The sequence below is a fragment of the Homo sapiens genome, chromosome 9 (assembly GCF_000001405.40).
Source record: "Homo sapiens chromosome 9, GRCh38.p14 Primary Assembly".
In the NCBI taxonomy this organism is placed as follows: domain Eukaryota; kingdom Metazoa; phylum Chordata; class Mammalia; order Primates; family Hominidae; genus Homo; species Homo sapiens.
Genome location: NC_000009.12, coordinates 11268650 through 11296490, shown reverse-complemented (window position 1 = coordinate 11296490; position 27841 = coordinate 11268650). Strand labels below are relative to the sequence as shown.

The following is a 27841-nucleotide window of genomic DNA, read 5'->3' as shown; positions in this document are numbered from 1 at the left end:
GCAGCCCACCGTGCTGCTGTTGCTGCTGCTAGCATGAGTGCATGCACAAACACTGGAACCCCTGCCCTGCTGCACTGCAGCCACTGCCAGTGTAAACACAAGCAAAGATACCACCACCCTGCCATTGCCCTGCCCCTGACAATGCACAGGCACTCTGCTGTGCTGCTGCCACCAGCACAAATGCATTCCTGGATGTCACTGCCCCACTCCCACTGTTGTCCCGCCCCAACCAACATGTGTGTACCCTGTCAAACCTCTACAACTGCTGGCACATGTGAGTGATCATGGTTCCCGCTGCTGCCATCTCTATGAAGTGCTTTTAACAGCACCCCTCCCCCTGTCCCGTGAGAGTGTTGGGGCTAGTGGACTGGTCACACCTTGGCCCCTCTAGCAAAAGATATTTCTAACCTTTAGGGAGCAGAGAACATGCTCAGCCCAGGAGTGCTAAAGTGAGCCTTGGCCCCTTGAAATTTTCCAGAATTGAAGCCAGTCAACTGAACCTACCTTATACCACAATAAAATTCCCCAAGGGCATCAAAGACAATAAAAGCAAAAACTCCATCTACAGGACAGCAACTGCAAAGATTAAAGGAACATCAGCCCATACAGATGAGAAAGAATCAGAGCAAGCACTCCAGCAACTTGAAAAGTCAGAGCGTCTCTTACTTCTAGTCAAAAACATTAATGCTCCAGCAATGTTTCTTAAGCAGGCTGAAATGGCTGAAATGACAGATACAGAATTCAGCATATAGATAAAAATGAAAATCATCAAGATTCAGTAGAAAGTCAAATCCCAATCCTTAGAAAGGAATTCAAAGAATACAATAAAACCATACAGGAGCTGAAAAACAAAATAGTCACTTTAAGACAGAATAAAACTGATCTGATAGACCTGAAAAATATACTGCAAGAACTTCAGAATATAAGTGCAAGTATTAATAGTAGAATAGAACAACTAAGAAAAGAACTTCAGAGCTCAATGATTGGTTCTCAAAATTAACTCAGTCAGACAAAAATAAATAGAAAAGAATACAAGAGAATTAATGAAACCTCTGAGAAATATTGAATTATGTAAAGAGACTAAATTTACAACTCATTCATGTTCCTGAAAGAGAGGGAGAGAAAGCAAGCAACTTGTAAAAACATATTTGAGGATATTATACACAAATATTTTCCAACCTTTCCAGAGAGGCCAACATTCAAATTCAGGAAATGCAGAGGACCTCTTCAAGATACTGTACAAGATGACCATCCCCAAGACACATAGTCATTCAATGTCAGCATGAAAGAAAAAATGTTAAATGAAGCTAGAGAGAAGGGATGGGTCATCTGCCAAGGGAACCCAATCAGGCTAACAGCAGAACATTCAACCAAAACCATGCAAGCCAGAAGAGACTGGGGGCCTATATTTAGCATGCTTAAAGTAAAGAAACTCTAACCAAGAATTTCAGATCGAGCCAAACTAAGCTTTGTAAGCAAGGGAGAAATAAGATTATCTTCAGAAAAGCAAATGCTAAGGGAATTTGTTACTATCAGACCTGCCTTACAGAAGGTCCTTAGGAAGTGTTAAATATGGAAGTGAAAGACCATTACTAACTACCACAAAAATATAGTTAAGTACATAGACTATTAATACTATAAACCAACTACACAATAAAGTCTATGTAATAAATGCTATCAACTTGATGAAAGGATCAAAGCTGCACATATCAAAATGAAATTTAAATTTATATAGGCTAAAAACCCACTTAAAAGGCATAGAGTAGTAATTTGGTTGTAGAAGCAAGACCAAACTTTATGTTGTCTTCAAAAGCTCCAACTCACATGCAATGACACACATAGGCTAAAAATAAAGGGAAGGAGAAATATCTACAAAGTTAACAAAAAATCAAAGAAATGCAGGGATTGCTATTCCTATTTCAGATGAAACAGACTTTAAACCAACAACAATAAAAAAAAGACAAATAAGGACATTACGTAATGGTTAAGGATTCAATTTAACAAGAAGCCTTAACTATCTTAAATATATATTCATACGACACAGTAGCACCCAGATTTATAAAACAAATTCTTAGAGACCTACACAGAGATTTGATAACCACACAATAATATAATAATAGTGGTAGACTTCAACACCCCACTGAAAGTATTAGACAGATCATTGAGGCAGAAAACTAACAAAGATATTTAGGACCTGAACCCAACACTAAACCAAATGAACATAACATAGACATCTAAGGAACTCTCTACCAAAAAATATACAAAAAATGAAAAAAGGAAAAAGAAGAATATACATTCTTTTCATTTGCACATGGCATATACTCTAAAATCAGCCACACAATTGGCCATAAAATAATTCTCAGGAAATTTTAAAAAACTGAAATCATATCAACCACATTCTCAGACCACAGCACACACACACACAAAAGAAATCAATACTGAGAAGATTGCTTAAAACCATACAGTTACGTAAAAATTAAACAACCTGCTCCTGAAAGACTTCTGAACAAATGATGAAATTAAGGTAAGAATCAAGACATTCTTTGAAACTAATGAGAACAATGATACATCATAGCAGAATCTTTTTGATACAGCTAAAGCAGTATTGAGAGGAATGTTTACAATGCTAAACACCCACATGAAAAAGTTAGAATGATCTCAAATTAACAATCTAACATCACACCTAGAGGAACTAGAACAATAAGAGCAAACCAAACACAAAGCTAGCAGAAGACAAGAAGTAACCAAAATCAGAGCTAAAATAAATGAAATTGAGATGCAAAATATTACAAAACATCAACAAAACCATAAGTTATTTCTTTAAAAGAATAAATAAGACTAATAAGCCACTACCTAGACTGATAAAAAAATAAAGAGAGAAGATCTAAGTAAATACAATAAGAAATGACAAAGATGACATTATGACCAGCGCCATAGAAATACAAAAAGCATTAGAGATTATTACAAATACGTCTATGCATACAAACTTGAAAATCTACAAGAAATGGGTAAATTCCTAGAAACATACAACCTCTTAATACTGAATTAGGAAGAATTTGAAACCCTGAACAGAACAATGAGTTTTGAAATTGAATCAATAACAAAAAGTCTACCAGGCAGAAAAAGCCCAGGGGTCAGATGGATTTACAGCTGAATTCTACCAGACATATAAAGAAGAACTAGTACTATTCCTACTGAAACTGTTCCAAAAATTTGAAGAGAAGAGATTCCTCCCTAACTCATTACATGAGGCCAGCATTATTCTGGTACCAAAACCTCGCAGAGACCCACCAAAAAAGGAACTTGAGGCCAATACACTTGATGAACATAGATGCAAAAATTCTCAATAAAATACTAGAACATTGAATCTGGCAACACATCAAAAACCTAATCCACCATGATCAACTAGGTTTTGTCATTGGGATGCAAGATTGGTTCAACATACACAACTCAACAAATGTGTTTCATTGCATAAACATAACTAAAAACAAAATCCACACAATCTCTCAATAGATGCAGAAAAGTCTTTTGATAAAATCCAGTATCTCTTCATGTTAAAAGACACAATAAACTAGGTATTGAAGGAACGTACCTCAAAATAATAAGAGCCATCTATAACAGACCCACAGCCAACATCCTACTGAACAAGCAAAAGTTGGCTGCATTCCCCTTGAGAATCAGACCAAGAAAAGGATGTCCACTCTCACCACTCCTATCCAACCCAGTACTGCAAATCCTAGCCAGAGCAATCAGGCAAGAGAAAGAAATAAAAGGTATCCAAATATTAATAAAAACAGAGAAGATCAAACTCTCTCTGTTTGCAGATGATCTGATTCTATACATAGAAAACCCTATAGTCTCTGCCCCAAAGCTTCTTGATCTAAAACACAACTTCAGCAAGTTTCAGGATAAAAATGAATACACACAAAATTCAGTAGCATTTTTATCCAACAACAGTGTTCAAGCTGAGTGCCAAATCAAGAATGCAATCCCATTCACAATAGCCACACATAAAAAATAAAATACCTAGGAAGACAGCTAACCAGGGAGGTGAAAGATCTCTGCAATGAGAATTACAAAACACTTTTCAAAGAAATCAGAGATGATGGCACAAACAAATGAAAAAACTTATTTGATGCTCATGGATGGAAATAGTCAATATTGTTAGCACTGTCATACTGCCCAAAGCAATGTACAGATTTAATTTGCTCTTTCTATTAAACTATCAATAACATTCTTCACATAATTAGAAAAAAAACTACTCTAAAGGTTATATGGAACCATAAAGAGCCTGAATAGCCAAAGCAATCATAAGCAAAAATAACAAAGCTGGAGGCATCACATTACCTGACTTCAAATTATGCTACAAAGCTACAGTAACTAAAACACCATGGTAACAGCACAAAGACAAACACATAGACCAATGGAACAGGTTAGAGAACCCAGAAGTAAAGCTGTACACCCACAGCTATCTGATTTTCAACAAAATTGAAAAAAGCAAGCACTGGGGAAATAACTTCTATTCAATATATGGTGCCAAGATAACTGGCTAGCCATATGCAGAAAACTGAAACTATACCCCTTCCTTACACTATATATAAAAATCAACTCAAGATGGATTAAAACTTAAATTTGAAACCTACAACTATAAAATCCCTTGAAGACAAATTAGGAAATACCATTCTGGAGTAGGACCTGGCAAAGATTTCATGATGAAGATACCAAAAGCAACTGCAACAGAAATACAAAAAAAAAAAATGACAAGTGGGACCTAATTAAATTAAGGAGCTTCTGCACAGCAAAATAAACTATCAACAGAGTAAACAGACAAGCCACAGAATGGGAGAAAAATATTTGCAAATTATGCATCTGTTAATTTATTTAAGTTTATAGATTCTGGATTCAGGGAAAAAACAAACAATCCTGTTAAAAAGTGGGGATAAACAAGATGCTTTTCAAGAGAAGACATACATGCAGCCAACAAGCACATGAAAAAAATTCCCAACATAACTAACGTTTAGAGAAATGCAAGTCAAAACCACAATGAGTTACCATCTCACACCAATCAGAATGGCTATTATTAAAATGTAAAAAAATAAGATGCTGGCAAGGTTGTGGAGAAAAGGGAATGCTTATACACTTCTGGTGGGAATATAAATTAGTTCAGCCACTGTAGAAAACACTTCAGAGATTTCTCAAAGAATTTAAAACATAACTACCAATTCACCCAGCAATTCCATTATTGGGTATATGCCAAAGGAATATAAATCATTCTACTACAAAGGCACATGCATGTGTATGTTCATCACAGCACTATTTGCAATAGCAATCTAAATGCCCATCAACAACAGACTGGATAAAGAAAATATGGCACATATACCCCATGTAATACATGCAGCTGTAAAAAAGAGTGAGATCACGTCCGTTGCAGCTACATGGATGGAGCTGGAGGTCATTATCCTAAGCAAACTAATGCAGAAACAGAAAACCAAATATCACGCCTTCTCATTTATAAGTAGGAGCTAAACAATGAATAGACATAGAGACAAAGAAGGGAACAATAAGCACCAGAGCCTGCTTGAGGGTAGAGAGTGGGAGGAGGATAAGGATTGGAAAACTACCTATTGGGTACTACGCTCTTGGAAAGTCTGCATCTTTGTTCCTGATCTTACTTAAAAAACTCAAGATAAATTTAAAATATACATTAAATATTATTAAAAATATAAAACAAAAATAAAGTTTTTTTTCTCCCTGGATCTTTTTAAGGGGCAGAATCTTTCTCATAGCAGTGTTTGTATAATTCATCATTTATTTTCACTCAAACTACTATCACGCACAGATATTTTAGTGAATTCCCCCTCTATCTATCTTTTAATCTGTTATTCTCTACTTTAGTCTTCCTCTTTCTACTTCTCACAATGATTACAGCAATACCCTTTTTCAGCAAATGGCTTTCAAAAGGATTACAGTTTTTCTTTTGTCCTACAAATTGTGGATGAGATAAAAATATAAAGTATTACGTATTAAGTATTAAGTACTAACATTATGGAAATATTCTTGGGAATATGGAGATTATGTAACTGCCTCAAGAGGTAATCAATTATGTCAATTCATAGCACCTCTTTTCACTTATTATAGTGGTCAAATATCTGTGAAGCAAAAGAAAGTAAATTAAAAGAAAAGGTAATGGGAGGAAAGCATAAAGTATTAAGGGTAAATACTCCTTTGAGCCTAATGCTAAGCACCATCAGGCAACATTTTTAAAATGACCCTAAGGTTTTAAAAATCAGATGTCTCGTCTTTTGACAATGAGGCAGCTAACACATCATTTTTTCTTGTTTTATTCGGTTTTTAACTCTGAAAGGGTTGTAGTTATGGCACATATTTTATGAAATAAAACATTATGTGTTATGTTTTAGCAGAAATACAATAACTTCCCTATTATTTGTATATGATTTCACCTATATTACATATTATGTTTGAATTATTCAGACCACCACTAAACTGTGGTCCTAACTAATTTTGTCCACTGAATGAATTGCTTACGAAAATGAGTCAATGGGGACCATATTGAGGAAAACTACTGCTAGCAGCCTAGAAATACTCGATCAAGTATTTAAATTTTGCATTTAGATTCTCATGTTGCATGTGCTTCAAAAAACTTTGTTGTATTAACAAATATTTAGGGGCAATGTTTATAGACACAAACACATTCCCTTTTTCTTTCTTTCTCTTTCTTTTCTTTCTTTTTTCTTTCTCTCTCTTTCTCCCTTTCTTGTTCTTCCTTTCTTTCTTCTTTCTTTCTTTCTTTTCTTTCTTTCTCCTCCCTTCCTTCCTTCCTTTGCTCCTTCCTTTTTTTCTTTCTTTCTCCCTCCTTCCTTCCCTCCCTCCATTCCCTCCCTTCCTTCCTTCTTTCCTTCCTTCCTTCCTCTCTACCTCATATAGCTCCTCTCATATAATAAGTACAAAATAAACATTTAATAATTACAAATAAATTATATAATTAGATCTTAAGTTATACAATTTACTCCTCTTCCCATCATAGTAATATGGTAACTACAGCAGATAAAAAATAAATAATTGAATATATTTAGAGTTGTATCACATAAAGATCTGCACTTTTCTTTGTCTCTTTGTCTTTTTTCTTATAGTTTATATCCCATCCAAGGCTCCTCTGTCAAGGAAGAGTACATATTCTCCAAATATTGGGCATCTCTTCACTTGTAAATAGTCAGGCAGAGGAAGAACAACAATTAATATGCATTTAATGACTTAGAAACATAATACCCTTAAATGCTGATCAGGGATTCTCCATTGTTTCATACTAAGGCGTTATAATGAGGGTCTTGCAAAGAAAAACATCAAGTTGAATTCTGAGTGTCTTAAGCAGAAGTGCTTGAGTGCCTTTTATTTCTTTTTTTTTTTTTGACTATATTTTGGTGTGTCTTTTTTTATTATTATTATACTTTAAGTTTTAGGGTACATGTGCACAACGTGCAGGTTTGTTACATACGTATACATGTGCCATGTTGGTGTGCTGCACCCAGTAACTCGTCATTTAGCATTAGGTATATCTCCTAATGCTATCCCTCCCTCCTCCCCCCACCCCACAACAGTCTCTGGTGTGTGATGTTCCCCTTCCTGTGTCCATGTGTTCTCATTGTTCAATTCCCACCTATGAGTGAGAACATGCGGTGTTTGGTTTTTTGTCCTTGTGATAGTTTACTGAGAATGATGGTTTCCAGCTTCATCCATGTCCCTACAAAGGACATGAACTCATCCTTTTTTATGGCTGCATAGTATTTCATGGTGTATATGTGCCACATTTTCTTAATCCAGTCTATCATTGTTGGACGTTTGGGTTGGTTCCAAGTCTTTACTATTCTGAATAGTGCCACAATAAACATATGTGTGCATGTGTCTTTATAGCAGCATGATTTATAATCCTTTGGGTGTATACCCAGTAATGGGATGGCTGGGTCAAATAGTATTTCTAGTTCTAGATCCCTGAGGAATCGCCACACCAACTTCCACAATGGTTGAACTAGTTTACAGTTCCACCAACAGTGTAAAAGTGTTCCTATTTCTCCACATCCTCTCCAGCACCTGTTGTTTCCTGACTTTTTAATGATCGCCATTCTAACTGGTGTGAGATGGTATCTCATTGTGGTTTTGATTTGCATTTCTCTGATGGCCAGTGATGATGAACATTTTTTCACGTGTTTTTTGGCTGCATAAATGTCTTCTTTTGAGAAGTGTCTGTTCATATCCTTTGCCCATTTTTTGATGGGGTTGTTTGTTTTTTTCTTGTAAATTTGTTTGAGTTCATTGTAGATTCTGGATATTAGCCCTTTATCAGATGAGTAGATTGCAAAAATTTTCTCCCATTCTGTAGGTTGCCTGTTCACTCTGATGGTGGTTTCTTTTGCTGTGCAGAAGCTCTTTAGTTTAATTAGATCCCATTTGTCAATTTTAGCTTTTGTTGCCGTTGCTTTTGGTGTTTTAGACATGAAGTCCTTGCCCATGCCTACGTCCTGAATGGTATTGCCTAGGTTTTCTTCTAGGGTTTTTATGGTTTTAGGTCTAACGTTTAAGTCTTTAATCCATCTTGAATTAATTTTTGTATAAGGTGTAAGGAAGGGATCCAGTTTCAGCTTTCTATATATGGCTAGCCAGTTTTCCCAGCACCATTTATTAAATAGGGAATCCTTTCCCCATTTCTTGTTTTTGTCAGCTTTGTCAAAGATCAAATAGTTGTAGATATGCGGCATTATTTCTGCAGGCTCTGTTCTGTTCCATTGGTCTATATCCCTGTTTTTTTTTTTTTTTTTTACCAGTACCATGCTGTTTTGGTTACTGTAGCCTTGTAGTATAGTTTGAAGTCAGGTAGCGTGATGCCTCCAGCTTTGTTCTTTTGGCTGAGGATTGACTTGGCAATGCGGGCTCTTTTTTGGCTCCATATGAACTTTAAAGTAGTTTTTTCCAATTCTGTGAAGAAAGTCATTGGTAGCTTGATGGGGATGGCATTGAATCTATAAATTACCTTGGGCAGTATGGCCGTTTTCACGATATTGATTCTTCCTATCCGTGAGCATGGAATGTTCTTCCATTTGTTTGTATCCTCTTTTATTTCATTGAGCAGTCGTTTGTAGTTCTCCTTGAAGAGGTCCTTCACATCCCTTGTAAGTTGGATTCCTAAGTATTTTATTCTCTTTGAAGCAATTGCGAATGGGAGTTCACTCATGATTTGGGTCTCTGTTTGTCTGTTATTGGTGTATAAGAATGCTTGTGATTTTTGCACATTGATTTTGTATCCTGAGACTTTGCTGAAGTTGCTTATCAGCTTAAGGAGATTTTGGGCTGAGACGATGGGGTTTTCTAAATATACAATCATGTCATCTGCAAACAGGGACAATTTGACTTCCTCTTTTCCTAATTGAATACCCTTTATTTCCTTCTCCTGCCTGATTTCCCTGGCCAGAACTTCCAACACTATGTCGAATAGGAGTGGTGAGAGAGGGCATCCCTGTCTTGTGCCAGTTTTCAAAGGGAATGCTTCCAGTTTTTGCCCATTCAGTATGATATTGGCTGTGGGTTTGTGATAGATAGCTCTTATTATTTTGAGATACATCCCATCAATACCTAATTTATTGAGTTTTTAGCATGAAGCATTGTTGAATTTTGTCAAAGCCCTTTCCTGGATCTACTGAGATAATCATGTGGTTTTTGTCTTTGGTTCTGTTTATATGCTGGATTACGTTTATTGATTTTTGTATGTTGAACTAGCCTTGCATCCCAGGGATGAAGCCCACTTGATCATGGTGGATAAGCTTTTTGATTTGCTGCTGGATTCAGTTTGCCAGTATTTTATTGAGGATTTTTGCATCAATGTTCATCAAGGATATTGGTCTAAAATTCTCTTTTTTTGTTGTGTCTCTGCCCAGCTTTGGTATCAGGATGATGCTGGCCTCATAAAATGAGTTAGGGAGGATTCCCTCTTTTCCTATTGATTGGAATAGTTTCAGAAGGAATGGTACCAGCTCCTCCTTGTACCTCTGGTAGCATTTGACTGTGAATCCATCTGGTCTTGGACTTTTTTTGGTTGGTAAGCTATTAATTATTGCCTCAATTTCAGAGCCTGTTTTTGGTCTATTCAGAGATTCAACTTCTTCCTGGTTTGGTCTTGGGAGAGTGTATGTGTCAAGGAATTTATCCATTTCTTCTAGATTTTCTAGTTTATTTGTGTAGAGGTGTTTATAGTATTCTCTGATGGTAGTTTGTATTTCTGTGGGATCGCTGGTGATATCCCCTTTATCATTTTTTATTGCATCTATTTGATTCTTCTCTCTTTTCTTCTTTATTAGTCTTGCTCGCAGTCTATCAATTTTGTTGATCTTTTCAAAAAACCAGCTGCTAGATTCATTAATTTTTTGAAGGGTTTTTTGTGTCTCTGTTTCCTTCAGTTCTGCTCTGATCTTAGTTATTTCTTGCCTTCTGGTAGCTTTTGAATGTGTTTGCTCTTGCTTCTCTAGTTCTTTTAATTGTGATGTTAGGGTGTCAATTTTAGATCTTTCATGCTTTCTCTTGTGGGCATTTAGTGCTATAAATTTCCCTCTACAAATCTCTCAAGTCTACTGGGTAGATTTGGTGCCATATCACCAGGACCGTGTTGCCAGAATTTCAAACAATACCTTGACTTATGTATAATTTACTCCTATGTACTATATCATGCATTTTTATCAAACGTTGTTATGACTCAAAAAGAGCCCGAATTTATTTGTTACTACTATAATATCTCATACTTATTTTCTTATCTTCCTATTTTTTCCATGTTTCTTTCTTCTTTTTTAGATGTTTTTGTGGGCTTAATGTTGGGTAGCTATAAGGCATAATAATAAGCAAAATGGGCTATTTGGTCTTATAGATAGGAATTAGAGTCCTGACTCAACCTGGCATTACTCTGAATTTTCTAGATTGAGAAAATAGGTGCATCGGGATACCTATTTTTTTAGATTGAGTTAATTATTAATATACAAGTTTTGGGAGTATAATGATAAGTTTAATCTTCCGTTTGCTGGGTACATAGTAACTCCTGTGAAAAATCAGAGTGGAAAAGTTGAAAAGGCAGTTGGATATATAGGTTTTTTAGAAGTGAAATATGGGCTGTAATTATACATTTGGAAGTTATTGAAAAGTCAAGATCACAGTAGGAAAGAACATGAAGCAAGAAATTACAGCCCAGGCAGAGCAACAGTGGACTTACTCAGGGAAGTATCTACATAAAGAAAGTGTTTCCAGAAGAAAGACTGGCATAGTGGGTAGTTGTATTTATTGACATTACAGTATATGTGAGAAACTGTTGTCTACCCAATAATATTTTGCAATTCTTCATTATGATGATGTAGAAAATAAAAATATGCAATTTAAAAAGTGTATTCTTAACGCTGTCTTACAGATAGGGCTGGATAATTACATTTAAGCCAAAGTCCTTGGGTGGGGTTCACTCAGCAGGCAATTGCCATGGTGCCCTTCTTTCTTCCTTCCTGCCTGGAATATAAATGTAATAACTGAAGCAGACTATCTTATAGTAATGATGTAACCTTGAGCATGGAAATTACTAAATAAGATGTACAGAGCAGAACATAGGAGTCTGAAATTCTAGTAATGTCTTTGAACTTCCACGACAAACCTGGTCTGCCTTTCTAATACAATTCACATATGACAGAAAAATAAAACAATTGAAAAATACTAGGGCTACCATGAATCTGGGTCTCTGTTACCAGAAGCTGAACACAGGTCATATCTCATTCAAGGTAATTAGTACAGTTTGTAAGGCCTGTTTCTTACTAACTGTACCAATTAACCTAACCCACCCAGTGACTTCTCTTCAGGGAAAAGACTGAAGAGAAGTCACCAGGAAGGTTAGAAACATTAATTTATTCAGCCACTGCTAAATGCATAATATGGAATTATATTAGTCATTGACAATATAGTGGCAGAAAGGCACACTTGGTCTTGTCACTTTTGGGGTTATAGCCTAGTCACTGGCCATAATTCATTATTCTTTCAGCTAAAAAGGCTGTTCCCAGAATCCTAAACCAGGATCATTTCATAAATTAAGAGCACGTAAGTCTGCTATGTATTTTAGAGTTTGCATTATTCTTCCTTGAAGGTTTTTGTTTTTCTATTTGTTGTTGTTGTTTGTTTGCTTCAATTCCAATTGTCTCTCTTCTTTTTGTATTCACTGATTGGTAAATATATATTACAAGAATAGATTTTTCTCCATGTCCCCTTACTTGTCAAGCTAGAATAACTTGTGTATATCTGAAGTCACAATTGACTTCTACATGTCATTTTAACACTATTTTTTATGGTCATGCTGTCTAATCTTTCTCCAGCATATGACACTGTTGACTACTCTTTGAAGCACTTTTCTTTTTTGGCATTGCAATGCTGTTCTACTTGGGGATTATTTTACCCACTTGGAGTGCTCAATATTTATAGATTAATCTTGCTTATGTTAGTGTCCCTCAATTTGCAACCCAAGATCTTTGCTCTCTGCACTGCATTTATTCTTCCTGATAAATGATATCAGTGTGTATGGCTTCAACTACTACCTTTGTCGTAATGAATTTAAAAATCAGTACCTCCAAACCAAACCATGATTTTCAGATTCTTTTATTACTTCATATGGCTTATTGTTACTGTTACCTCAAGCTAGTTGGCCTATGAATACCTCAAAAGTAATAAAAAATTCCTATCTATATCCGCATATCAAGCTATCTCATATTTTTCTATAGCTTTTTCTTATTTTCCCTTTCCTTTCATAAGTATGTACATTTCATTTTTTCTGATCAATTTCTTACCAAAGTAATTGACACTACCAACTGCAACTTTTTCAAGATAGACATATCAAAATTATCTATGAGTCAGTCTTCTCTACATAAATGCTTAGCATCCAGTAGGTTACCAATATATTACAGTCTGCTTACAAATGTATCTGAAATCTGTTCTCTATTCTCCAAAATAATTTCCATTATCTTTACCCTTCAACTCTCAAATATTTAAAGTAGAATTTAATGAGTGCCTCTGCTTCTATCTCTCTATCTATAGATTTCCATAAATAGATATATCAAGTCTTTTTTTCTCCAAATGGATTGTGTGCAATCACATATTTTAAAGGTATTTTCTGCATCAAAATGATTTTTAATATATCTCTCCCTCTTATTAGAAGAATCTTATCTGCTTTTTTCTGAACTTTAAGCTCTGTACTCATCTAGATAGCCTTGAACTGAGAGAGAGAAATTCCTCCTAGTTTGAAAAACAGTTAAACTAAGAAATGTTCTAGAAAAATACAGCATCTGCTTTTCTGGAATCAGGGGCAGCTTTCTTCATGTTCATGGCTTAAGGCTAATGAAAGTGCCTTAGGGGAGGTGAACAGTTTCCACCACTAGCTCTGTTTTATGATGGCAGGGACAATGTATTTAACTCTAATTTCTGGTATTTAGTGATGTATGCACAAATAATGCTCCATAATTGTTAAACAAATACATTGTAATGACACCCCATGTTTTTATCTCATTCCCAGGAGAAGGTGTATTTGGAGAAATCATAGGGGCAGATGTGTTACATTGCCATGCTTTCAACTGACTCTCAATAAGGATCTATTCATATTTATTAGATGAGCATTATCAGAATAGAAATAAACATAATTTTTACCAATAAGAGGAATTATCTTCTGCCATTTTGTTCAGAATAAAGCACATTTTAAAAGTATTCATTACTAAAGTAAATGTTTATTATCTGTTGTGCTGATATTAACTAAAGATACTTGTGAAATATATAGAATAGAACTAAAGTTTAGTCTTTGAGATATTTTTGTCAAGTGAGTTTTAACCAATAAAAAAGCTAGAGTTTATTTGTCCCATCATTCTTACTTTTTTGAACATCAATTTAAAATGTGTATTCATTCAGTGACCTATAGAGACACACTCTTTGGAATTATTAGTAAAATCATGGAACTATGAGTACATACAAATGAAAGAGAAAGGAAAGGAAGAACAGGCTATTATTTACCAATTTCTACACTGCATTGAAAACTAGCTTCTCTGATAAACCTGTAAAGCAACAACAATCAAGACAAAGAAGATGATTTATGCAGCTGTTTCAGCAGTGCTTCAATCACATTTATTCCTCATTTTACAACAACTCACATAAGGATAACATTGAAATTCACATGTTGAACTGCCAGTTTTTACATAGGTTTTCACATAATGAATAATATGAAGACCTTTCTGAAAATGTAACTTTTTTCTGACAAATCATATAGGAGAAAATATAATTTCAAAAACTTTACATGGTAGTTAAAATAGTAATATAAAACTGCCTTAATTCATTTACTCTGCTTCTTAATTTAACAATTTATCACACATTTTCATCTTAAAAACTAAATATAATCAAGAACATTTTCTAATTATTAGAGTAAACAGCATTGCATTTTACACACTGAATTTAATGTGTACTATTGGATATTTCTGAATTTTATTTCTTTTTAAATTTTTTATTTATTCGTCTTATTTTTTGTGACAGGGTCTCTCTGTGTCACCCAGGCTGCAGTGCAGTGGCGCAGTCTTGGCTTACTGCAACCTTGACTTCCCAGGCTCTAGTGATCTTCCCAGGCTCTAGTGATCCTCCCACTTCAGCCTCCTGAGTAGCTAGGACGACAGACACATGCTACCATGTCCGGCTAATGTTTTTATTTTTGGTAGAAATGGACTTCCCAGGCTCTAGTGATCTTCCCAGGCTCTAGTGATCCTCCCACTTCAGCCTCCCGAGTAGCTAGGACGACAGACACATGCTACCATGTCCGGCTAATGTTTTTATTTTTGGTAGAAATTGGGTCTCGCTGTATTGGTCAGACAGGTCTCAAACTCTTGAGTTAAGCGATCTGCCTGCCTCAGCCTCCCAAAGGGCTGGGATTATAGGTGTGAGCCACTGTGCCTAGCCTCTGAATTTTAAATGTACTATTTTGTGGTTAAATTTTTAACACACATCAGACATATTAAAGTAGTTATCTTTTGAAAAAGAACATTTCCTGTTAGTAAAATGAATATTAGTAAATTAGAAAGTAAATTACATTTTTACTAGAGTTACATTTGATAGGAAAGCTTAAAGTGAGTTTAGATCAATGTTCAAGCTAATAGTTGTCTAGAGTTTTGTAATGCCTTTTAGAAGCTATCCTACCTCTTTACTTCAGAAGCTGCAGTAGGCTTGGCAAAAAATTAATATTGTGTAATTAGTGCTATTGAACTGATCATTTATATAACGTGTTTTAAAACTTGTGCTTAAATGCCCTCTCTCAAACTCTATTTAACCATAGACCTTGCAGGGTTAATATCCATCCCTTTCCCCTGACACGCAATCTAGTCTCTATTGGCTCTGATGCTAGGCAAGCACTTTTAGTTTGCACAGATGGTAATTACTAGGATTCATTGTAGAGGTTTTGTGAATTGAAAAATCTAGACAGGAAAGAAAATAGTTGCAATTGCCTGAAGGTCAGGCTTGTGGGAAAGGAGGAATGTAAAATCTAAAACAGCTCTAGTGATATACTCTATTTGCCAGTCCAGCAGTAAACACACTTTGTTCCCCATTTTAATGGGAAATGTTGATGATTTAGCTATTCTGAGATTTTCTATGATGTCTGCCATCAACTTCAAATTTCTGCTCACACAGGAGTTCTGGATTCTGTCCTGTCTATGGGTGACATTTATCCTCTGCTCCCACTACCAATTACTGACTCGCTCTCATTTCTTGTTCAAACTACTCCTAAACAATGTTTCGTTCATTTAGTTTTTCATTAACCAGTTTCAAGAGATTTAAATAGGTAGTACTTCCATTCCAGGTTACATTAAAATCCTCTGGGCATGTTACAGAGAACTGCTAATGACTAAAGAACCAAATCTTGTTCCAGTCATCTGTGACCAAATAAGATATAGTATTCAATTTTTTTCAAAAGAGGTTGTGGGGTAGCAGCTTCCATTTGGTGTGCACATTCATTCAGTCTCCTTAGTTGTACCTATTTTTTGGAGTACCCTGAGAAAAATGACTGTGAAAAATACTCCAAACCCAAAGACAGCCATTATAATAGATTGCTTCTGGGGGCAGTTTCTACCCTGTCTGACCTGACCTCTGAAGTGAGACACAGCTATCTCTCACCATCTCACACTGTTTATAGCATTTACATTACAAAGAAAAAAGCATATTTATCCAGTAATAGGTTGGCATTAAAAACCAATTATAGACTTATATAAGTCATATTTAAAAATGTAAATCCTCTTATATAAAAACTGCATCATTCTGCAATGCAACTAGTAAAATAAGATTTTAATTCTTTAAAATGAAGAAGAATTTTAAGGCAAAACATCTTTTAAAAGATACCTATATACTACATTAAAGGGAAGATACTAAGCTTATAAAAAGGAAATCTTGAAATTTACAGTGAAATGTGAAATTTATGTTGGCAAACCAAAAGTGGGAATCAAATTCTAGTCATAATCTAAATTATAACCATAGATTTATATTTATTTATATGTCAGGGAGAATATTGGTCAGCATTATGAGAGCTAAGGTGTATGGTAAACATTTCAGAAAATAAAACTAAATGAGTAAAAAATGTAATAGTGAGCCCTTAAGTGCTACAGCAGATATTCCTAAATCAGTCTTACCGTAAACAGGGTATCTGTTGGGGAGGAGAGGAGAAATTTTCAGTTTTGTGATGGCTGCATCTTAAACTACCTTTTATTGCTTCTTTTTCTCTCTTTTGGAAAATCAAGCAAAGTGGCCCTTCAGGCAGTATAGTCTAGAAGTTATGGGCTTGAACTTTGGCATTGGAAAAATTTGTATTTTCATTCCAAAGCTGTCTTATATTAACTTTGTTAAATAACTTCATTGAATCTAACCTTTCTTATCTGTATGATCAAAATAATGTTATTCAACCATTGGGTGCAATTATATAGTAAAATAAAATGCTAAATATAAGACATCAGCTGTAATCCCAACACTTTGGGAGGCCAAGGCAAGCACACTGCTTCAGCCCAGGAGTTTGAGACCAGCCTAGGCAACATGGCAAAATTCCGTCTCTACAAAAAATACAAAAATTAGCTGGATGTGGAGATGCATTCCTGTAGTCCCAGCTACTTAGGAGGCTGAGGCAGGAGGGTGGCTGGAGTCTGGGAGGTTGAGACTGTAGGAGCCATATGAGCCATGTTCACACCTCTGCACTCCAGCCTGGGTGACGAAAGTAGACCCTATCTCAAACAAAACAAAACAAAACAAAAAAGTAAAGCTGAGTGTATGACACATCATACATGGACAAGAATGGATAACTATTCCCATGGTATCTTAAATATAATACTACACTGGAAATCAGAATTGCCATTTGTAATGTTACTAGACTACAAGAGATAGAGTACATTTCCCCTTCCCAATGAATCTAGGTTGGTCTCGTGGTTTGACTGCTTTGAGTAATATAGCAGATGTGATATGTGCAATGTCTAAGAGGTATTGCAGCTTCTTCTTACCAATCTTGATATTCTGAAATTGAAATGTAAAGAAACTCAGACTAGATTCTATGAAGATGAGAGACCTTATGGCAAGAGAATTCCAGCCTACAGGTAGCACAATTAATAAGTTTGAAGGTGAGGTCATTTTGGATCACCCAGAATTGGGAGTGAGCACAAGTGAGATCAGCAGAATGACTGAACTGAGCCCAGTCCAAATGATTAACCAATGGAATCAATAGCAAATAAAAGGTCATTGTTTTAAGGCCCTGTGTTTTAGGGTGGTTTGTTATGCAGCAAACAGCGACTAGAAGTTTTGTCTGTGTGTGTGTGTGTGTGTTGTTTGTGTGTGTGTGTGTGTGTGTGTGTAATGCAAACCCATAAGCATGTACATAAGTGGCTTCTTCCTACACATCTACACATCAGTTGAATTTTTTGGAAAAAAGCAAGAAATTACTAATTTACCACTCAAACTCAAAATATTTTTTAATATAATTATCTTGATGGAGACATGTTTTCCTAATAGTGAAAGTTTTAACTGTATTTGTATTTCCAATGGTGTACACTTAGAGCATAATAAAATGAGGTGTGTCTTAGCATCACATGCTGTTGCTATATTTGAAATAAATTCATTTGAACTTCATACGTAAAGAATATATTGAAAAATCCCATAATACAGGCATCCATACTGAATGCCTGCCTTTTTTTCTTTTTCAACATATGAAAGTTGAAACCATTGACCAAAGTGATGTATTATTTCTGGAGACATTTACCAAATGGATGAATAAATAAATTATTCAAAATATAAGCATAAAAAGTATATTTAATGTTGTTGTTATGTAAGTAAATATTTTATTTTTCCAAAGGAAATTGTAAGATATTCTGTATAGCCAAATAGATGTATTAAAGAAAATCAACAAAAATAAAATTATCTTTACCAAACATATTTTAGTTGGAGGTCACTACTATAACAAAACTCAGAATACAAGTCAATGCCAGTGGCAGAATGAGGTTGAATGTATGAAGCCAAAACAAAACAGAAGAGATTAGATAGGGATATATATATATATTTTGTTCCAGAGCTTGATTATTTTTTCTCTTTTTGTAGTTCTGATCTTAATAAGATCTGTGTTGCCTTCAGCTGAGGGTAAAAACAGAGACATTGCAATGTAAGTTATCAGCATTCAACTTGGAAAAATCAGAAACTCTATTAGGGTGCTGTTAATTTAGCAAATATATGGGGAGCTCAGTCACTAATAGAAAAGTGAGAAATTTACCTGAGATCTTTCAAAGAGTTTACTGGAAAAACCCATTCTTCAGATAAACACATATATTATCCAATTTATCTGCCACTATTGTCATCTTATATTAATTTTTTGAGTCAACTAGGTATAAAATAGAGACTGGTATCAAGAATTAAATACTTAAGACAATGAATCCTTCATTATCTAATAACTATTAGACCTATTTGTAAGAAGTATTCTTCCTAGACTGCAAGCCTCTACATCCATTCTCCTACAACAGGAAGGTGACACAACTATTTTTTGGGATTTCATAATATTAAATATTAAATTATATTAATATTTGTAAACATGATAATTATTATAATGATATGAATAAAACTGTTGTGATTACTTCTAATACTAACTACTAGCAAGAGTTTTCATTATTGATCATAATCTTGAAAGTTAACCTAACAAGCAGTTCTTAGTCTTGTCCACATTATATAGAAGGAACTGAATCTTAGCAAGTTTAAATGGCTTCCTATTTCACTACATTGGTGCTAGCTCTGATTTTGGAACCTGATATTTTGATTTTAAATCACTAATGTTTAAATGTTTTATTAAACTAAAAGCTCAATATTTTCTGAATTGTTTGGCTCTTCAAGAACATTACTGAAACGTGCCTACAAAAGAAATGCAACTCTATTATACAAATAAAGTAATTGGAAAGAAGGAATCTGACCATATAATGAGTGAGGTTCAATAGAACATAGAATTCAAATTATTTACATGCAATTGAAATAACAAACTTTTACAAAGTAAAAGGGCAAAGGTAGTCATTGAAAAAGGATACAATTAGGCATTGTGAAATTGTTCCCCATGTCAGGTAACCAAAAGCAAACATCCTATGACAAAATTCTGAGCCATTGTGATGTAGAATTTCTGATTATCACAAAGTACTCTTTATGGTGAATCCAAAGGAATAACTGTGGGGAAGGGGTCAATCCCACTGTTTTCATAGTAATCCATTTTAACTATGCTTTAGACCAAAGAAGATGGAGAGATGAGAGATGATGATGAGGGCTTAACCAATTTTCTACTCGGATCATCACATGTCTTTTTAAAGCCAGATACTAGGCATGCTTAATTTAATTAGCCTCATGCAAGTTAGCATTAACTTGGGAATTAAAAACATATCATTCATTAATGTTTTATTCCCTTATTTAACATATTTATTGAGCATCTATGCATGACAGACACTGTTCTATAACAAATGATACAAACTGGATTGACAGAAGAGAAGGTGGAGAGCTAAAAAAAATTTACAAAGTAGAATTAAACTGGGTTCATTCCAAAAGAGTGCTGCAGAATATAACAGAAGTAATATATTAAAGACAGAACTCTGCATTTTGAAGAAGCTTTGGAAGTTGAGGCTTGAACTTGGCCTTTAAGAACAAGTAAAGTTTGGGCAAGTAGAAGGAAAAAGAAAGCTACTTTACACTAAAGGATTCATGTTCAAGGCAGCATGAGTTAGGGATGAGAATTTTTGTTTGTTTATTTTTGTTTGTTTTCTTATTTTTAATTTTTGAGATGGAGTCTTATTCTGTGCCCAGGCTGAAGTGCAGTGGTGTGATATCAGCTCACTGTAACCTCCACCTCCTGGGTTCAAGCAATTCTTCTGCCTCAGCCTCCTGAGTCAATGGGGTTACAGGTGCACACCATCACACCCGGTTATTTATTTATTTATTTATTTATTTATTTATTTATTTTTGTATTTTTAGTAGAGATAGGGTTTCACCATGTTGGCCAGGCTGATTTCAAACTCCTGGCCTCAAGTGGTCTGCCCGCCTCAACCTCCCAAATTTCTGGGATTACAGGCATAAGCCATCGCACCTGGCCTGTTTTATTTTATTATCTTTTTGATATTGAAGCCGTCTAGGATCAATGAAGCAGTCTCATTGTCTGAGGTGTTATTTGTGCTCTTTGTCTCATGAGCAAGAAAATTAAGAAGCATGGACACCAAGGGTGAGGTTAGAGTGAAAGTTTTATAAGCAAAAGAACAAAACTCTCTGCAGTGGAGAGGAGGCCCCAGAAGGTTTCCGTTTTTACAGTCGAATGCAAAGGTTTTTATAAGAAATTTTTCCTATCTGTGTAACTGCCCTTATCTGTGCAGCTTCAGGCACGTCTCAGCATGCCTCCCTCTCATGGAAGTTCCCAGGAAGCCCACCATGTACGTGTCTGTACGTGTCTGTAGAAGAGGAGGAAATTTTTTTCCGGGAGCCGGCTGATTACACAAAGAACAAAGGTATTTCTATGTTTGGTTTTGCTCCCTTATCTGTGCAGCTGCAGCTTGATTTTTCAGGCTGTTTCTATGTTTAAAAGAATTCTACCAAGAACCTGTCTTAACTGTCTGTCAACTGTTTTGTTCCCCGCCTCCACCCTCCGCCATTCCCCATTTCCCAGGAATGAAAACCCTAAGTGCGAGTAGGGACATTGTGCATTGATCGTTCAGACTACTTCATGCTGGAGAGGGCATCATATGGGGGACAGCAGCTGGGATTTCTCCTGTGATCAATCTAAGGGTCCTCTTAAGAAGAGCACATCCATGCGTGGTTCTATTTGTATCACTATTTGGAGCATGATAGGCTCTAGGCAAAAAGAAACAATTTAGGTTATAAGAGAACATGTGTTAAAACAAGACTGGGGTTAATGACGTTTTAAAAATTCCGAGGCTGCTGACACAGTTGGATAACTGATGATTGTAGTTATGTCTGTTAAGATTTGGGTGCATGGGCTTGGCTTTGGTTATCTCCATTGGTTTTATTTTCCCCCCAAAAAACGTCTGGGTTATGGGTATCATATTTACTCCTATTACCTGGCACGATTTGCAAGATAATTAACCAGTACTAGAATATTGATCCAGTTTTATTGTTGTCGTTGTTGTTTTCACTACACATCCTTTTTTGTTTCTTCTGAGCAGCAGGAGGAAATCACTAGTTGATTCAAAGGAATAAGCAGGAATAGTCTAAAATGTAGGAAAAAAACTTAAAAATAACTAATGAGAACAGAATTTAATAACATGTTTTGAAATATAATTTTTCCCTCTTTAGTCCTCATTTTTGTTAAAAACAAATTATAAGACTGAGTTGTTTGCAAAATAAAGTTCAGCAAAAATAATTATTTTTCATATGATTTTCAAATTGTCTTTGAAGGAACTCTGTTCCACAAGGAATCTTATAACAGACCTTTTTAAAGTCGAGCCCAGCCATGAGTTTGTACCCTCAAACACCTATGAGTTGGGTAAATTCCTCTCTTCTTGAGGTCCTAAAAACATGAGGATCCTGGGCCTGTTAGAAAGTGACATTTTTTACTCAACACAGGTCAGGGACACTGTACAGGGACTGGGTAGATGAGGTACGAGGCCAGAAACACAGAAACATATCCATACATCTACAATGAACTAATTTTCAACAAAGGTACCACAAACATACATTTGGGAAATAGTAGTCTCTTCAAAAAATGGTGCTGGAAAAACTGGACATCCATATATATATGAATGAAACTATACCCCTAATCAAAACTCTAATCAAAATATATTAAAGACTTAAATCTAAGACTTCAAACTATGAAACTACTAAAAGAAATCATTGGAGAAACTCTCTAAGACATTTATTTGGACAAATGTTTTTTGAGTAATACCTTAAAAACACAGACAGCGAAAGCAATAATAGACAAATGGGATCACCCTAAGTTGAAAAAGCTCCTGCACAGCAAAGGAAACAATCAACAAAGTGAAGAGTCAACCAACAGAATGTAAAAAATATTTGAAAACTACTCATCTTAAAAGGGATTAATAACCGGAATATATAGGAAGCTCAGACAGCTCAATACAAAAATAACTAATAATCTAACCTAAGAAATGAGCATTTCTCTATAGACATGTCTCAAAAGAAGATATGCATAGGGTAAACAGATATATGAAAGTATGCTCAACATTATTGATTATCAAAGAAATGCAAATCAAAACTACAATGAGGTATCACTATAATTGCCCCATGGGTTCACCTTGCCTGCTGCCTAGACAGAACCAGTTTATCGGGACAGGGGAATTGCAATGGAGAAAGAGTAATTCACAGAGCCAGCTGTGTAGCAGACTGGAGTTTTACTATTACTCAAATCAGTCTTCTGGAGCATTTGGGGATTGAAGTTTTTAAAAGATAATTTGGTGGGTAGGGGCTTGGGAAGCGAGGAATGCTGATTGGTCAGGTTGGAGATGGAATCATAGCAGGGCCAGAGTGAGCTTTTCTTGCCGTCTTCTGTTCCTGGGTGGAATTGCAGAACTGGTTTGAGCCAGATTATGGGTCTAGGTGGAGTCAGCTGATGCACCGAGTGCAGTGTTTGCAAAATATCTTAAGCATTGATTCTAGGTTTTACAATAATGATATTATCCCCAGGAGCAGTTTGGGGAGCTTCAGACTCTTGCATCCAGAGGCTACATAACCCCTTTACCATAATTTCTACTCTTGTAGCTAATTTGTTAGTCCTACAAAGGCAGACTGGTCCCAAGGCAGAAGGTCTTTTCTGGAAAGGGTTATTAATCAATATTGTTTCAGAGTCAAACCATAAACTAAATTTCTTCCCAAGGTTAGTTTGGTCTATGCCCAGGAATAAACAAGGACACCTTAAAGATTAGAAGCAAGATGGAGTCAGTTAAGTCTGATTATGTTCACTGTCGTAATTTCCTCACTTATAATTTTTGCAAAGGCGTTTCATTACCTCATCCAGTTAAAATGGCTTTTATTCAAAGACAAGCAACAACAAATGCTGCTGATGATGTGGAGAAAAGGGAACCCTTATACACTGTTGGTGGGAATGTGAATCAGTACAATCACCATGGAGAGTAGCATGGATGCTCATTGAAAAACTGAAAATAGAACTACCATATATTTCAGCAATCCTATTGCTAGGTATATACTCAAAAGATGAAAAATCGATATATCAATGGGATATTTACACTCTCATGTTTTTTGGTAGCACTATTCAAAATATTCAAGATTTGAAAACAACCTAAGTGTCCATCAACAGATTAATGGATAAAAATAATGTGATATATATACACAGTGCTGTACTATTCAGCCATGAAAACAAACAAGATGCTGTCATCCACAACAATGTGGATGGAACTAGAGGACATTGTTTTAAGTAAAATCAAGATACATTTCATATGTTCTTACTCATTTGTGGGAGCTAAAAATTAAAACAATTTAACTCATGGAGATATAGAATGACAGTTACTAAAGGCTAGGAAGAGTAGTGGGTGTTGGAAGAAGGGATAGGTAATGGGTATAAAAATATAGTTAGATAAAGTGAATGAGATCTAGTATTTGATAGCATAAAAGGGTTAACACAGTGAACAATAATTTATAGTACAACATTTTAAAAAATAAGATTATAATTGGAATGTTCATTACATAAATAAATGATAAAAGCTTGAGGTACTGGATATCCCATTTAACAGGATATGGCCATTACACATTGTATGCCTGCATAAAAATATCTCATGTATCGCATAAATATATATACCTATTATGTACCCCCAAAAATTAAAAATTAGGAAAACAAAAAAAATTAGGAAATACAAGTGTATTAGGAAATACAAGGACTTGCAATATCTGATTTCAAGACTCAATACTAATCTAGAGCAATCAACAGAGTTTGATATTAGAGAAAAGACTGATACTTGGATAAGTAGAACAGAATAGAGACTATAGAATTATACTAATACTTAAATGGTTAATTAAATTTTGGCTATTCTATAAAGTAATTATAGTCTTAAAAAGAAATTTTCCTGGAATAATTGAACACACCTGTAAATAAATTAAACTTAAGTCATATCTTTTACATAAAAGTTAACATGAAATGAATAATCTAAATAAAGAAGTTAAAACTAACTTATAGAAAAAAAGTTAAAGAAATATTTTTATGATATTGTACCAGGAAATATTTATTATATACTACACCAAAAGCATAATGGAGTATCTTAGAAAATAATAATTTTTATAAAATAATATATTAATAAATTTGACTTCATGAAATTTAAATTCTCCTGCTCTGTGAAAGGCACTATAAAGATCATGGAAGCAAATACTGGAGAAAATGTTTCCAAATTATTATTATAACCAAGGACTTTAATCCAGAAAAAGAAGAAAAAGAATAAATATGTATATTTTCTTTTTGGTTTACGTGTGTGTGTGTGTGTGTGTGTGTATATAAAAATTCTTAAAACTCAATAATAGCAAAATAGCAAGTTCATTATAAAAGGGCAAGAAATTGAACAGATACTTTACTAAAGTAAATATATATGGCTACTAAGCACATGTAAACATGTTTAACATAATTAGTCATCAGAACAATGTTACTTATGACTACAGTGAAAACTTCAAATGCTGGTAAGGATTCAAAGTAACTGGTATTCTTATATGATGCTACAACCACTTTGGAAAACGTATTAAGAATGTCTTAGATATTCAAACATTCATGTTTATGTTATGACCAAGTAATCCACTCTTGGGTGTTTAGATAAATGAAAACTTATGCAACCACAAATATCTATATGTAAATATTTATACTGGCTTTATTTTTTAATAACCAATAATCAGAATGTAAATGTTGTTTAGCTGGTAAATGAGTGTGCAATCAATGATATGTTCATTATACAATGAATGCTGCTTAGCAGTAAAAAAATACTACTAATAGATGCAACATGTGGATTAATCTCAAATGTATTATGTGAAGTAAAGAAAGCAGGATTCAAAAGGCAGCGTTCCATTTATATGACATTTTGTAAAAGGCAAATTTTTATGAAAAGAAATAGATGAGTCATTCCCAAAGTTGGTTGTGTATGTGGAAAAGTGGGAAGAGCTGACTGTATAAAGTGGCTTCAAGACTAAATTTCTTTGATGTGGTGTAGGTTTTCTTTTTTTCATCTTGAGTATGTGGTGATTAGACAATTGTAGGTGTTTATAAAAACTCGCAGAAATATACACTGATATAAGCTACTTTTACTTTCTCTAAATAAAAATTAAATTTAAAAAGTGCATTGAAGAACATGACAGAAAATGTATTTCAGACTTAGGTTTTGAGCTTAAATAGTTTACAATGGGATTTGCAGCTTCTCATGTATATAGTCTTATTACTAGTTCTACTTTATAAAGAAAAATATGTAAAATAGGTTTGATGATGTAAATTGTATGCTCTATTGAGACAGGAGAAAGAAAACAACAGAAGTTAAGACAGGTCCTTCACGTGGGGTTAGAAGGAGGTCCTGGGGAAACTGAAGGCATCTGTCTGAGGTCACACCTCAGTGTTACCTGAAGGCCCCTGGACTAATTCGGGTCTCCAACAGCCATCAGGTGTCAGCACCAGGATTTCCAGACTTTCCTATCACATTCTCTGTTTTTCTTTTTTGTGGCTATCATGTCTCTTATCCCTTCTTTATGCTATGTTGGGGGAGTTTTTGCAGCCTGTGGAGATAATCTTTTTGGGATCATTTAGAAAGTTTCTTAGTAACCAGGAATGTAACTCAAATAATTGCTGCTTCTATGATTTTCTTGAGATAGGGGTATTTAAAAGTTTTAGCCTAAACTTTCACCTAGTAAGGGCTTTTTTTAATCTCCCAGTGATAGTCATTCATGGCACTGAATAGAAGAGTATTTGATCCCAAGTAAATATCCTACTGTCCATTTGGGTTGTGTTTTCCTCCATGTAAGAGTACAGCACTGCCAAATGAATTAAAACTGTTCCTCTATGAGACAAATCATTTCTTTCCTGCTAAAAGGCTTACTGTGAGGACAGCCCACCAAGCCCCACACCTCTTTTTTTAACCTCTGCCTGAAAATAATTTGGAGTCAGAGTTTTTACCTAACATTTTAGTCCCTCCCACACTTTCTAGTGAAATGAGATTTTTCTCTGTGGGTGGTCCTATTGGTCCTTTGCCCCAAACCTCTATTTCCTCAACTCCATTCCCTCTGGTCAGACCCCATGCCCTATTTGTAAACAGAAAAACTCCACTTTCAACAGTCAGGAGGAAGCTTCCCTTGAGAGGCAAATTCTAGCCCAGTACTGTCCCCATTGGAAGGAGGATAGACGTTTAATCCTTATGTACTTTTGAGACACCTCCTCTGCATCCAGCTACATTGGCATTTAAACAAAAGGGGGATTTTATGCTTAGAAGTCAATTCATCTCATTCTCTGGGAATTCAGTGCTTCACTAGGGTCATAGTAAGAGAAGCCAGGGATAGAGTCAGGACACTTTCTTCATTAAATTGGATTTTCTTCACCAAATCCAATTGCTGAACAATTTCTCTTGGGCCTCTTGGCTAACCTGGAAGTCTTTTGGGTCGAGTAGATCTGAGAGACCCAGAGACAAGTGGAGCGCTAGGGCATTGCCCAGGTAAGCATGACTACTACTGCTAACTAGCTCTTCTAGATCCATGGGTGAAGGTGATGCTTGCATCCGTGGACAGCACTTATGACAGTTGCTGGAACTCAGAGGAGACCAGAGGAAAAAGGAGAAAGGGTAAACCTTTCTATGTTTTCCTCCACCCTGGGTAACTCTGAAAGGATAAAAGAGACTAAGGGGTGCTTTTTCTCTCATCCTTTTCCAGATGGGTAACAACATATTTTTGAATTTGCATTCTCTTCAAGTGCAGGCTGGATCTCCATTAATCCTCAGACCCTGAAGTTTTCTTTGAGCAAACCCCATCTTCACTCACATATAGTGGACTTCCAGGATTTAACACAAGTATTTAAACTGTCCTGGAAGGATGTTATGTTACTCTTAAATCAAACCCTAACTGCTGCTGAGAAACAGGCATCCCTGCAAACAATGGAGAGCATTGGAGATGAACTTTGTGTCTCATACAAAGTGCCAGCGAAGGGAAAGAGCTTTGAACTTTGTGTCTTATACAAAGTGCCAGGGAAGGGAAAGAGCCTTATCCAACTGGGAGAGTAGCTGTGTCCTTGGAGGACCCTAAATGTGACCATGATGATAGCATTGGA

General features: G+C 35.3%; 1 long non-coding RNA gene across 4 annotated transcripts in view; it reads left to right on the top strand.

Moving 5' to 3' along the window:
* The window catches only part of LOC105375974 (uncharacterized), a 248630-nt gene that overhangs the window by 206108 nt on the left and 14681 nt on the right, over nt 1-27841 (top strand). For 3 of the 4 annotated variants that reach the window (XR_007061893.1, XR_001746618.1, XR_929476.2), the window contains exon 4: nt 20955-21086. This is a non-coding gene — a long non-coding RNA (uncharacterized LOC105375974). Of the gene's footprint in view, nt 1-20954; nt 21087-21244; nt 21842-27841 lie in introns of those variants that run through there. The other variant, XR_929477.2, reaches the window with a different exon arrangement.